Source organism: Homo sapiens, chromosome 7, assembly GCF_000001405.40.
Source record: "Homo sapiens chromosome 7, GRCh38.p14 Primary Assembly".
Taxonomy (NCBI): Eukaryota; Metazoa; Chordata; class Mammalia; order Primates; family Hominidae; genus Homo; species Homo sapiens.
The window spans coordinates 67,092,814-67,107,158 of NC_000007.14; the positions used below are offsets into that span (position 1 = coordinate 67,092,814).

A 14,345-nucleotide genomic window follows, 5' to 3' on the forward strand; every position below is an offset into this window, starting at 1 on the left:
CTGGGATTACAGGCACCTGCCACCATGCCCGGCTAATGTTTTTAAATTTTTGGTAGAGATGGGGTTTCACCATGTTGTTCAGGCTGGTCTCGAACCCCTAACCTCATGATCCACCTGCCTCAGCCTCCCAAAGTGCTGAGATTACAGGCGTGAGCCACCACGCCCGGCCCAAAACTTCGTCTTTACCAAAAATTTAAAAAAAAATTAGCCAAGTGTGGTGGCATATGCCTGTGGTCCTAGCACCTGAGGAGGCAGAGGTGGGAGGGTCACCTGAGCCCAGGAGATTGAGACTGCAGTCAGCTTGATCACATCACTGCACTCCAGCCTGGGTGACAGAGGCAGACCTTGTCTAAAAAAAAGAAATAATAATAATTGAATTTATTTTTCAGTTCACAAAATAAAAACATTTGCAGCTAGCACGTTTTGAATGTGTATGTTGGGCCTGGCACCCCATTAAGTATTTCATGTAGCTTATTTCATTTAATTGTTATAATAGCTGTATGTGTGTGTGTAAAATCTCCATTTTAAAGATCAGGGAATGGGCTTGGAGAGGGTGAGAGAGGCTTGACCAAGGATATAAAACTACCTTCGCGGTGGAGCTAGAGTGTGAACCCGGTGCATCTGAATCCCAGTGGCCAGGGCCTAGCCGATGCTCCTTCCACTTTCTGAGTTTTAGGTTGGTTTTGGAGTTCAGGTTCAACCTGCCTTTCTACTCAGCTGCTCATGGTGCGGATTATAGTTAATGATATGCTTTTTGAAAAGCAAATGTTATGCTTAATGCTGAGTTGTCTTGGCAACGTAGAATGAGCTTAAGGATCAAATTTTATTTGAAAACCTTGTTTTACTTGAGTTAAGATCTTAGATTTCAATAACCTAAAAAATTATTCATCCATCCAAAAATACTGACACGAAATACATTCTTACAATTGCAGTTACATAGTCATAAAAGAAGACATCACCTGTCATGCTTAGATTGTTCTCATTTTGGTCTGTACTCTGTTGCTTTGATCTCTTGGGGATTTACTTGCACTTTGTGTTTTATTTTATTTATTATTTTGTATTAGGGGTACATGTGCATGTTATTTACATCGGTGTATTGTGTACTGCGGGAATTAGGCTTCTTGCATACCCATTACTCAAATAGTGAACATTGTACCTGATAGGTAATTTTTCAACTCTCACCCCGTCCCATCCTCTTTTGGAGTCTCTAGTCTCTATTATTTCCATCTTTAGGTCCGTGTGTACCCATTGGTTAGTTCCCACTTAAAAGTGAGAACGTGTGATATTTGATGTTCTGTTTTTTAGTTCACCTAGGATGATGGCCTCCAGCTTCATCCATGTTCCTGTAAAGGACATGATTTTGTTCGTTTTTATGGCTGCATAGTATTCCATGGTGTATATGTACCATATTTTCTTTATCCAGTCAACCGTTGATGGACACTTAGGTCATGGTTTCATGACTTTTAGCTATTGTGAATAGTGCTGCGATGAACATACGAGTGGGTACAGGTTTTTTTTTAATATAATGATTTCTTTTCCTTTGGTTAGATACCCGGTAATGGGTTGCTAGGTTGGATGGTAGTTCTATTTTTAGTTCTTTGAGAAATCTCTCTATAGAGGTTGAACTAATTTACATCCCCACCAACAGTGTGTAATCCATGCCAATTCTGTTGTTTTGCTTTAATAATAGCCATTCTGACTAGTATAAGATGATATCCCATTGTAATTTTAATTTGCATTTCTCTGCAAATGATTATTAGTAATGCTGAGTGTTTTTTTCACGTAACTTACACTTTCGTATTTCTAAGGTGTGGGAGGAAGAGAGAGAGAGAATTAGAGTGTGTGTGTGTGTGTGTGTGTGTGTGTGTGTGTGTGTGTCAAGCACAGCTGACACCAATACCTTAACTTAAACATACCCAGAGAATGACTGTATGTTCTAAGAAGAATGTGTGTTCTGAGCTCTGAACTAGGAGATCCAGGAGTGGCCAACCTGGGGATTCATTCTCTTTGTTTTTTTATTTTGGACAGATCATTCTCTATCTATGAGGAACATCTGAATCCCTAGCGCTTCCTGTGGAATGCAGGTTGTACAGGGGATCAAGGCCCGTTGTTTTGGGTTAAATAAAGTGGTGCCTGGTGGAGATTGCTGGTGGGGGGGTACTAAGTGAAAATGCTGTATAAACTGCATGATTTTTTTTTTTTCCAGACAGGGTCTTGTCCTGTTGCCTAGGCTAGAGTGCAGTGGCGCAGTCTCAGCTCACTGCAACCTCCGCCTCCCGGGTTCAAGTGATTCTTCTGCCTCAGCCTCCCGAGTAGCTGGGCCTACAAGCATGCACCACCACGCCTGGCTAATTTTTGTAGTTTTAGTAGAGATGAGGTTTTGCCATGTTGGCCGAGCTGGTCTTGAACTCCTGACCTCAACTGATGCACCCATCTCGGCCTCACTAAGTGCTGGGATTACAGGCATGAGCTGCCGTGCCCAACCGAACTGCATGCTTTTTACAAGCAACTGTGGTTCTCCTGCCCAGCCCACTGCCACTGGACTGCCCTGTTTGTGAGTTTGTGAGTCCCTTCAATAAACCCTATGTCTTGGCTGGGCATGGTGGCTCACGCCTGTAATCCCAGCACTTTGGGAGGCTGAGGCAGGCCAACATAGTGAAACCCCATCTCTACTAAAAATACAAAAAAAAAAAAATTAGACAGACGTGGTGGTGTGCGCCTGTAATCCCAGATACTGAGGAGGCTGAGGCAGGAGAATTGCTTGAACCCGGGAGGCGGAGGTTGCAGTGAGCTGAGATCACGCCATTGCACTCCTGCCTGGGCAACAGGGCGAGACTCTGTCTCAAAAACAACAACAACAACAACAACAACAACAACAACAACAACAGCAGCAGCAGCAGCAGCAGCCCCTATGTCTCGTTCACTGGCTCTGCATCTCTTTGCCAGCCCCTCACACGTGGTGCTATCCCTACTGAAGTCAATCAGGGTCTGGCGGAACAGTGTGTCTAAAATAAAATCACTTTCTGAAAACTGAGGCACAACTGAGCAGTGAAATTTAACTTTATTTCGCCCACGTTCTTTGTTACTGTTGTTAAGGTGACAGTGACTGGGATCGAATCAGTTTCATAAATGAGGATAAAGGTGGTAATAGCAAATCGTTAATGAACGTTTCTTGTGTGCCAGACACTCCGCTAAGGCCTTTACATGCATTATCTCATTTAATCCCAACAAAAATTCTTCAAGGTACTTACCATTCACAGGTAAGAAAGTTATGTTTCAAAGATGGCCAATAATGGCTGGGCATGGTGGCTCACGCCTGTAATCCCAGCACTTTGGGAGGCCGAGGCGGGCAGATCACGAGGTCAGGAGATCGAGACCATCCTGGCCAACATGGTGAAACCACATCTCTACTGAAACTACAAAAAAATTAGCCGGGCATGGTGGTGGGCACCTGTAGTCCCAGCTACTCGGGAGGCTGAGGCAGGAGAATGGCTTGAACCGAGGAGGTGGAGCTTGCAGTGAGCTATTTTGCCACTGCAATCCAGCCTGGGTGATGGAGCGCAACTCCATCTCAAAAACAAACAAACAAACAAACAAAACAAAGATGTCCAATAGGAGTAGGAGAAGACACATGAACACGCTTCTCCCCTAGGCCCAAGCTCCATGAGGAATCCCTATCCTGCAGAGAGAATATATTCTTCAAAAGGAACCTAGAAATCATTGATTTAGAACTATCAGGAGTCAAGGTGATATATATTTTTTCTTTGTTTTTTTTTTAACTCTTAAGTTCAGGGGTACAAGTGCAGGTTTGTTACATAGGTAAACTTGTGTCATGGGGGTTTGTTGTACAGATTATTTCATCACCCAGGTATTAAGCCCAGTACCCATTAGTTGTTTTTCCTGATCCTCTCCCTTCTCCCACCCTCCACCCTCTGATAGGCCCCAGTGTGTGTCATTCCCCTCTATGTGTTCATGTGTTCTTAGGATACATATTTTTGCCTATTTACACTCTTTCCGAGTCTTTCGCATTCTCTGTTAGACTGAAGGACTTTTAGGACAGCATATCTTGTAATGCCTTCTACATTGAGTCAAGAGCAGTACCTGACAAACCAAGCTGCATGCTGGAATCACACGGAGAGCCCTTTAGAAATCCTGATGCATGAGGCCCCTCCCCAGAGACTGTGATTTAATATGTTTGGGATATGGCCTGGACATTGGGATTCTTAAATGTTTTTTGGGTAATCCCAGTGTCCAGCTAGGATTCAGAACGAGTGGTGTGTGCTAGTGGCTACTAAACTTGTCTACACATTGGAATCACCTGGGGGGCTTCAGAAACTGCGAATTGCCTGCACCCCTCCGCCAGAGATTGGCGTTTAGTTGATCTGAGCTGTGGCCTGGATTGTGGGAATTTTAAGATTCCAAGGTGATTCCAATGTGCAGACAGGTTGGGCCCCTCTGGTTTCATGCAGTGGCTTTTAGCCTTGGCTATACGTAACAACCATCTGAGAAGCTTTAACAAAACTTATTGCCCAGCCTTGCACCCACTCTGATGAAACAGACTCTTTAGAGGTGGACCTAGGTGGCAGTATTTTTGGTTTTTTTGGAGACGGAGTCTCACTCTGTTGCCCAGGCTGGAGTGCGGTGGCACTGTCTCCTCTCACTGCAATCTGTGCCTCCTGGGTTCAAGCGATTCTCCTGCCTCAGCCTCCCGAGTAGCTGGGATTACAGGCATCCGCCACCACGCCCAGCTAATTTTTGCATTTTTAGTAGAGACAGGGTTTCACCATGTTGCCAGGCTGGTGTTGAACTCCTGACCTCAAGTGATCTGCCCACCTTGGCCTCCCAAAGTGCTGGGATTACAGGTGTGAGCCACTGCGCCCAGCCTATTTTTGTTTTTTGAGACAGGCCTTGCTCTGTCATCCAGGCTGGAGTGCAGTGGCATGATAGTGGTTCACTGCAGCCTCAATCTCCCAGACTCAAGTGATCTTCCCACCTCAGCCTCCCAAGTAGTTGGGACCACAGACATGTGCCACCATGCCCAGCTATTTTTTTTTTTTTTTAATTTTTAGTAGTGGCAAGGTCTCACTATATTGCCCAGGCTAGTTTTGAACTCCTTGGCTCAAGCAATCCTCCTGCCTTGGCCTCCCAAAGTGCTGGGATTACAGGTGTGAGCTACTGCGCCTGGCCTGTAGAAGTATTTTTTGAAGCTCCTCAGGTGATTCCAGTATGAAGTATGAATTATGAAGTATTCCAGTATGAAGCCAAAGATAAGAACGATTAGGTCTCTTCTTTTTCTCTCCTATACAGCTTTGGACCAACTACATTTACTTTCCCAGTTCAGGATACTTGAGGAATGATTGGTCTAGAAGAAGCTTGTTCTTATGCAGATATACTGAGTTCATTTTCTTGGATCAACATGAAAGAATGCAAAGCTAAGCAAATTATGCAAAGGGACTTATTCTGCATTCCAAATAATTAGCTAACAAAGCTAGTTTTGCCTGTTTGTATTGATGTAGTTTAACTGGTACCAAAACTAAGAATGAGGTTACTGACTGATTTTTCTGATTTAATAATTCTAGTCCTGCCCTGCCCTTTAGCCTTTGTTTTGTATTCTTTGGTATCAAAAATGAATTTGCTCTATAAAATCAAAGCATCATTAAGAAAAACGTAAGTGACATCCTCTATCTGTGCCTTATGTAGCTGGGTCCTTCTCACTGTATTCTCCAGGAGTACCGGGCGTCAAAGCAGAACGCTTTGAAGAAGGAATGACGGTAAAGCACTGTGCATTGTCCCTCGTGGGAGAACCAATAATGTACCCAGAGATCAACAGGTTTTTGAAGCTACTCCACCAGTGTAAAATTTCCAGCTTCCTGGTCACAAACGCACAATTTCCTGCGGAAATCAGGTGAGTTCTCCAGCCTATGGAGAGATGCTGCTTGAATCTATGTTTCACTGCAAAGTAAAACTAATAGGCATTAATGCAATCAAATAGGATTTATTGATTACTTACTACATACAAATGTTGGGCTTTGGGAGGTGAAGATGGTCCTGCTCTTCAAAATCTGTTCTATTAGGCACAACAACATTAGTAAAAAGACTAGAGGCACAGATACATCGCTAGGGGAATTCAAAAGAGAATGAATTTTTTTTTTCCAAATGGGAGAGGCAGGGTAAAACTTACCAGAGAAGCTGTCATTTATTTTATTTTATTATTATTATTTTTTTTTTTTGAGTCGGAGTCTCACTCTGTCTCCCCGGCTTGAGTGCAGTGGCGTGATCATGGCTCACTGCTACCTCCGCCTCCCAGGTTCAAGTGATTCTCCTGTCTCAGCCTCCTGAGTAGCTGGGTCTACAGGCGCCTGGCACCATGCCCAGCTAATTTTTTTATTTTATTTTTTAATAGAGATGGGCTTTCACCATGTTGGCCAAACTGGTCTTGAACTCCTTACCTCAAGTGATCCTCCTGCCTCAGCTTCTGAAAGTGCTGGCATTACAGGTGTGAGCCACTGCGCCTGGCCTAATTTTTATCTTTATGTCTGGGATTGGTACTTGAGAAGGTTGGAAACTATATTGTTGTTAATAAGGAACTTCCTGAGAAAGACGTGGAGTTGGGGTATTTGTGATAACCATTATATAAGTGTAGTTTATTTAGACCACAGAATGTGTGAAAGAGAGTGGCAGGTGGAAGTCAAGTTAGAAAGGTTGGGATTAGATGGTCTAGGACTTCAAATGCGGTCCTTTGGAAAGATCTTGTTTCCTGCAGAGCAGTCTGCTGGCATGGTATGCAACTGGGGAGACAAGAAGCAGCAGGAACCTAGATAGGAGATTATGATGTTTGCTTAGGTCAGAGTTATAAGGGTGGAAGCAAGTCAGTGTGAATGAGGGAGTCTTAAAAAAGATGCTGTTAAGCCAGGCGCGGTGGCTCATGCCTGTCATCCCAGCACTTTGGGAGACTGAGGCCGGTGGATCACCTGAGGTTGAGAGTTCAAGACCAGTCTGACCAACATGGGGAAACCCCATCTCTACTAAAAATACAAAATTAGCTGGGCATGATGGTGCATGCCTGTAATCCCAGCTACTCGGGAGGCTGAGGCAGGAGAATCGCTTGAACCCGGGAGGCGGAGGTTTCAGTGAGCCGAGATCGCACCATTGCACTCCAGCCTGGGCAACAAGAGTGAAACTCTGACTCAAAAAAAAAAAGATGCTATTGAAGGATTGCTAGGTATGATTGGCAAACTGCTTGTATGGCTTTGAGAGGCTAGCGGAGAAGAGGACTAGGTAATTACACTGAGGGTTCCAGCCATGTTGATTGCTAGGATTATGGGGCCCCATAACAGCAGAGGGCTCTTGTAAGGAAGGGTCAGGTTTAGGTGGTAGGATGATGAGGTTGGGTTGGATGACTTAAGGGAGGGCTCTCCTTATAGGGATGATCAAAGGCATCTCCTGGGGCCTCTGGGGAAATGATCTGTTTTTGTGTCATACTGGGACTAGGCACACGCTGTAACACCAAAAGTATTACAAAATTTACTCATCCGTTATGTATTGGTGTTTTCCCCGATTAGACTGCAAGTTCCTTGAGGTCAAGACCTCTGCTTATTTATCTCGGTGCATTTTTTGCCTGGCGCACTAAAGGTGCTCAGTACATGGGTAGTGAAATATTGGGGAAATAGGAAAAAAAAAAAGATCTTTTTGAATTCAAGTTTGTTTCGTAAACACTGGCCAATAAAGTATAAGATTGTAAGAATTAAAGGGGCAGGGCGTGGTGACTCACGCCTGTAATCCCAGCACTTTGGGAGGCCGAGACGGGTGGATCACGAGGTCATGAGATTGAGACCATCCTGGCTAACATGGTGAAACCCCGTCTCTACTAAAAATACAAATACAAATAATAATGATAATAATAAGCCAGGCATGGTGGCAGTTGTCTGTAGTCCCAGCTAGTCGGGAGGCTGAGGCAGGAGAATGGCGAGAACCTGGGAGGCGGAGCTTGCAGTGAGCCAAGATCACGCCACTGCACTCCAGCCTGGGCTACAGAGCAAAAAAAAAAAAAAAAAAAGAGTTAAAGAAAGAGGAGAGAAACACGAAGGGCTGCTTAACAGTTAACAGGTTTATTCTGAACCTGGGAGGGACTTCTGACTGAGTTAGGTCAGAAGCCACACTCTGTTACAGACTAAGAGTTTTCAAGGATTCAGGGCGGGTGAGTTTATCAGAAGCCTGTACTGCTTCTGTGTCTCTTTGTTGTGCTTATGTGGGAGGGAGAGGTGGTGTGTGTCTGTTCTCATACCTCTTTCTGCAGCCGCAGGCATACCCCTGAGTCTGCTTTTAGCTGCCCTATCTTAGTGCACCTGAACGGAAAGGAATGTGCTTATTAAGGCCCACTGTTTTACTGGGGCCCAGTGTATGAGAGTGAAGTTTGGCAGTTACCCAAGAGACTTTTCCCTTACCTCCCTCTGTGCCCCAGGAGTCTTATCTGTGTTTTACTGTCTGCTGTTTCTGGCTGCTTGTAGTTGGAAGTGATTTCCTTGAATGCGTGAAGCTATAAAGGGAGGTGGAACTTGAAGTGGCGGGGTTTGTCCGAGATGACGGTGCTCCTGCTCTGTCAAAGATGTGAAAAAAGGTGAAAATATTTGCAAAAAATTAAGATCACGGTTATTTCTAGAAAGATTGATCACATACATTCGCACACGCAGTCAGCTTGAAATATTTATTTATTTATTTTTGAGACAAAGTCTAGCTTTGTCGCCCAGGCTGGAGTGCAGTGGCACAATCTTGGCTCACTGCAACCTCCGCCTCCCAGATTCAAGCGATTCTCCTGCCTCAGTCTCCCCAGTAGCTGGGACTACAGGCGCACACCACCACACCAGCTAAAAGATGGGGTTTCACCATGTTGGTCAGGCTGGTTTCAAACTCCTGACCTCAAGTGATACACCTGCCTCGGCCTCCCAAAGTGCTGGGATTACAGGCGTGAACCACCGAGCCCAGCCTGAAATTTAATGTCATAGGAAATCGAAGAGTTGATTAAAATTATTAGCTACCAGGCAATAATATGAAAATCAGTGTATTGTCATAAAGATATCTAAGCTATTACTTTTTGAAGTTGTATAAAAAGGTGAAGTTAAAATGTTTTTAAGAAGTCAATGTGTCTGTTTTACATAGGGTTGCCATTTCTGTTTTTAAACTTTAGTTGGGTTTTAAATTCCTGAATTTTCACATGGCTCATGTGGGGGACATTGGGATAGAATGGTGTTTGGGGTATATGCATAAAAAAAGGGAGTCTGTCTTAAATTAAAGGCATATATCCCCCAAAAGAATGGAATCTGTTAGTAGTAGGATAAAGTAATTTTTTGCAAAATGATAACCAGAGAAGATGTTTCATTGTTTGATCATGAATGGAATTGTCTGTGAATGCCATCATGGATTGAGGAAAATTATAGAGTATGATATAAGATATTTACCCGAAAACGTCCAACAAAATGCCGGCCACATTTGGTAGATGTTATCGAGTCTCTCTTTCCCTCTCTTGCTGGTGAGTCTTCTCAGGCCTGCAGAGGGATTGTGGAATACGACAAGATGTTCGTACTAGCCTTGATTGCCATCTTCAACAAACAAATGAGATAGAATGGCATATGATTCCAAAGAAATAATTCTTCATTTACTAAACCTGACTGGGAAATGAGGAGGGAGACAAAAAGGAGGAAGTAAGGTGGCAGGGTTGGGCTAATAGGAAGATTAGCAAATTTCTCCGATCCTGAAAATGAGAGTTTAAAAAGTGGATGGGTTTACTCTATCAGGAATCATCAAGAAAGAAGGAATGCTTAGGAAATAGAGGTTACACTTTTGGAATTTTTTTTTTTTTGAGATGGAGTCTCGCTCCGTCACCCAGGCTAGAGTGCAGTGGCGCCATCTCGGCTCACTACAAGCTCCGCCTCCAGGGTTCAAGTGATTCTCCTGCCTCAGCCTCCCGAGTAGCTGGGACTACAGGCACCCACCACCACACCCAGCTAATTTTTTGTATTTTTAGTAGAGACGGGTTTCACCGTGTTAGCAGGATGGTCTCGATCTCCTGACCTCGTAATCCGCCCGCCTTGGCCTCCCAAAGTGCTGGGATTATAGGCGTGAGCCATCACGCCCGGTCACGCTTTTGGATTTTTAAAGCATCCTTGAAGCTCCTAATATGAAGGGTGCTGTGCTTCAGGGAATAAGCAGGCAAATTGTGTTGCATTTTTTAGGGTATGTCCTTCCCTGGAACAAGACAGAATATGTAGAAAGTAGCCATTCTAGATTCAGATCTCAAAAAGTGGGCACGTCTTTGTTATCCGTTGAAATACCTATCTAGAAAGAGAAGAACAAAAGCAAGTCTGAGATCTGCAGATTACTGCTAGGATATGGGAAGAATTTCTGATAATGGAAGTCTGGTAGACATGGGTTGAGGACATAATCTTTCAGTTTACCTTTTTCTGAAACAGAGCAGTCCTCCTGGCTTGGGAATAATGTGTGTCCAAATGTTAGGAAGTCCTAAGTATAAGACAACCCTCCTAGCCCCACATTTTCCCAATGAAAGATTTGAATTATCTAGAAAAAACTTCAAAAACAAAATGATTAGGATTGCCATGCTAGATATTATGACGTGTCATAAAACCACAAGTTTCAAACACTCTGGGCTATAGAATAGTGAAACAAGATAGTCTTCAGACAGCCTTTACTTTTAAACTAATACTTTCAGGACTTGAGGCCTCTCCGAATTAAACTAAGGACGCTCCCTGCCAACCCCCATATCCCAAGAGAAAACAGAAAGAAAAAGTTTTCTAAGAGGAGATAATCTTACTTATTTCTGTGAATAGGAGGAATCAAAATACCAGTTGTCTCTGGTGTCTTAGTTTCTTTCAGAAAAATAAGGCTGTAGGTTAACTAATAGAACACAGAGGCCATGTATTTTGGAAGTTTCCTTTAATGTTGATAATGCTAATTTTATACAGCAAGTCAGCTCATACAGCAAGTCAACAAGTTCAGCTATTTGCTGAGCCTCTTGCAGCCATGTCATCTTTGAGCACACTGTAAGAATTAAAGAAAGAAGAGAGAAACAAGAAGGGCAGCTTGACAGTCAATAGGTTTATTTTAAACCTGGGAGGGGCTTTTGACCTTACACACACACTAGGAAGTAATAATGTTCTCTGGGTGGTTGGGTGGCCTATTTATTTTTTATTTTTTTAATTAGAATTTCTTTTTCTAAGTAACTGCAATACCACCTGTACTCTGGTATCTTTTCAGGGGAATCTAGACTTTGTCAATTGTCTGTATTATATTCAGGCTAGTGGCTTTTTCAGGGTACTAAACCTTTCCCTAAAAGGGTTTCAGTCTTCCCTCCAGCTCCAAAGCATGTAACTGTGTATTAGTCTGTTCTCGCATTGCCATAAGGAATTAACTGAGACTGGGTAATTTGTGAAGAAAAGAGGTTTAATTGGCTCACAGTTCTGCGGGCTGTACAGGAAGCACGGCAGGGGAGGCCTCAGGAAACTTAAAATCATGGCAGAAGGCAAAGGGGAAAGCAGGCACATCTTCACACAGCAGGAGGAAGAGAATGAAGGGGGAAGGGAAATGTTACACACTTTTAAACAACCAGATTTCGTGAGAACTTACTCATTATCACGAGAACAGCAAGGGGGACGTCCCCATCACCCAGCCATCTCCCACCAGGCCCCTCCTCCAACATTGAGGATTATGAATTCAACATGAGATTTGGGTGGGGACAGAGCCAGATTATATCAGACTCTTTCTGACAGTTCTGCCCCTTAGAGGAGTTTTCACAGTGAGTGGTCCACCAGGACTTTTGGGAGAGCCAGGTATTTGTTGTGGATGCTGTGTAGAAGCAAACACCTTAGGCAAATGAGAAAGCTTTTGCTCTCTGAGTAGCTGTATGCTTTTGTCAAAACAGAGGTTAATAAAAGTGACAAGAATGTGTAACACACTTCATGTTAATAGGCCTGGTGGTGATGAGACAAGAAAAAAGCCATTTCTTGATAGGAAGGTACTGATATATTTTAATATGTGTCAGTTCTCTTTTGCTGCAACCACCCACCTCAAACTAACTAACAATAATTTATTTAGCTCATAATTCTTCAAATCAGCCTGGAAGTCTTTTGGTCTTGGGTGACTTTGCTGGTTGATGATGGGCTGGGCTGGGGCCCAGGGGCCTCTACTCACATGGCCTCTCATCCCCCAGCAGCTATGCTGCACTTTATCACAGGGTGGCAGGGTTTCAAAGAGCAGCGAGGGGGGCAAGCCCCATTGCACGAGCATCTTTCAAGCCTTTGCTTGTATCACATTTGCTCACTTCCCATGGACCAAAGCTAGTCACACGGTGGAGCTTCAAGTCAATGAGAAGGCACTCAGATCTACAGGGCAGGGGCACTTGGGTACTGGGACAGGAGGAGTCGATGGCCACATTTACAGTCTACATACAGCACAACAGACCACACTTGTCAAGGAGTATAACCTTGAACCTACTGGGGCTCAGTATTCTTCAGAAACTCAGTTGATGATTATAATTATGTGAATAGCCCAGATGATATGCAATCCATTTTCTCCTTAAGCCCAGAGGTCTCAAGCCCTGCGTTGATAAGAAGTAGGTTTTGCTTTTCCTACAGCCTGTTTATCACTTTTTTTTGGAGCCAACGCTGAAAAACCAAGAGGTTTTACATAAAATCTGGACTTTTGACTTTGAAAAGATGATCTGGCAAAAGTTGTCAAGAGCCAAGGAGTACTTATCTTTTCCAGGAAGCCCTGTGGTTTTCAGTTTCCCACACTCCTCCCGTCTTGCTGTTTCTTCAGCCCTGAGGCTGAGTGTCATCTGCCACTTGTCAGAGGTATTGCACGGTTGATTTTCTTATAGCAGAGAAATTCCTGTCACCATTCCTAAAAAAGTGAAATAATGAAAGGTAAACTGAGAGGCCACATAGTCCCAGAAAAATGGAAGAAATCATATCACTTTGAGTAAGGAGAGAATATTCTTGTGTGTTTCATATGCAGTCTGCATTTTGGTACACAAAGAACTTTTGAGAGAGGAGAGAATATTCTTTTTTTTTTTTTTTTTTTTTTTTGGAGATGGAGGAGTTTCGCTCTTGTTGCCCAGGCTGGAGTACACTGGTGCGATCTCGGCTCACCACAACCTCCACTTCCCGGGTTCAAGTGATTCTCCTGCCTCAGCCTCCCAGGTAGCTGGGATTACAGGCATTTGCCACCACACCCGGCTAATTTTGTATTTTTAGTAGAGACAGGGTTTCTCCATGTTGGTCAGGCTGGTCTCAAACTCCTGACCTCAGGTGATCCGCCCACCTTGGCCTCCCAAAGTGCTGGGATTACAGGTGTGAGCCACTGTGCCTGGCTGGAGAGAATATTCATGTATGTTTCATATGCAATCCGCATTTTGATACACAAAGAATTCTTTTCCCTCTTAAAAGTGGCTTACTTGACTCACATTATTTCCTTGGTCCCTGTAGACATGTGAGTTTAGAACTTTGTTCCAGAACACTGTACCATCTGTGCATTCAGCTTTGCAGTCCTAGAGAGGTGCATCATAGCTGATGTTATTGCTGCGATGGAAGACTCCATAGAGTCATTTCTTATATATAGCTCCACGCTGTAATGCTGACGACACCTTGTAAAAGCAGATCTCTGTATGGCATCGTGTTGTAAGGCAAGGAAGTTGTTGAGGAGGATGTTTCCCAACACTGAATAGCTTCTTCCCTCTGAGGAACCTCAGAGAACTGGTTTGTTCTTATCTTGTGGACATTTGAATCCTGTAACAGCATCTCCCACTTCATGAGTGTGCCAGAGTTCAGAGTCAAATTTGTAGTCATTTGTAGACTCACAAACTCTTATTTTCATATTTAGTCCACGTTAACTGTTATGTATCATAATCATCTATTTTACATTATTTTAAAATTTACATTTAGAATCTCATAGCTCTTTTTTGGTGAGTACTGTAAATCTAAAGCTTTTTGGCTGCTAGCAGGTTTATCATAAGAAGACAGAGCTGTGTTCAGCATTTCACTATGACATGATTAACTTCTCAGACTCACCTCCTGCTCCCAAATTTCATCCCTGTGTACGTTTACTTTCGAACACCTTTTCATTGAAACTATGTAGGAACTTTATTCTCTTTCCTCTGCTACTTCTGTATTTCTGTTTTGTTTGCTTTGTGTTTTGTTTTCTTTAGTTTTTGCTGAGACATTCACCCCATCTTTTAGAGAACCTCTATAAACTGGATGTCTCTTTACGTATTAGGTGCATAGTATATGTTTGAAGAGATGAGTGAAGTTTAATAAACATGCAGTTTTCTTGTATGT

General features: G+C 43.4%; 1 protein-coding gene and 1 long non-coding RNA gene across 7 annotated transcripts in view; one reads left to right on the forward strand and one right to left on the reverse strand.

Annotated features, from left to right (window-relative positions):
* TYW1 (tRNA-yW synthesizing protein 1 homolog) overlaps positions 1-14,345 on the forward strand; it is a 242,682-nt gene that overhangs the window by 95,981 nt on the left and 132,356 nt on the right. For 5 of the 6 annotated variants that reach the window (NR_134540.2, NM_018264.4, XM_017012392.3 and 2 more), the window contains one exon: positions 5,728-5,905. Coding sequence is in view for 5 of the 6 variants with exons in the window: in NM_018264.4 (NP_060734.2) it covers positions 5,728-5,905 (178 nt within the window). In the remaining variant the exon portion in view is untranslated. Of the gene's footprint in view, positions 1-5,307; positions 5,697-5,727; positions 5,906-14,345 lie in introns of those variants that run through there. The other variant, XM_047420569.1, reaches the window with a different exon arrangement.
* The window catches only part of LOC124901664 (uncharacterized), a 30,839-nt gene continuing 27,424 nt past the window's right edge, over positions 10,931-14,345 (reverse strand). Inside the window, exon 2 of the long non-coding RNA XR_007060370.1 lies at positions 10,931-12,912. This is a non-coding gene — a long non-coding RNA (uncharacterized LOC124901664). The remainder of the gene's footprint in view (positions 12,913-14,345) is intronic.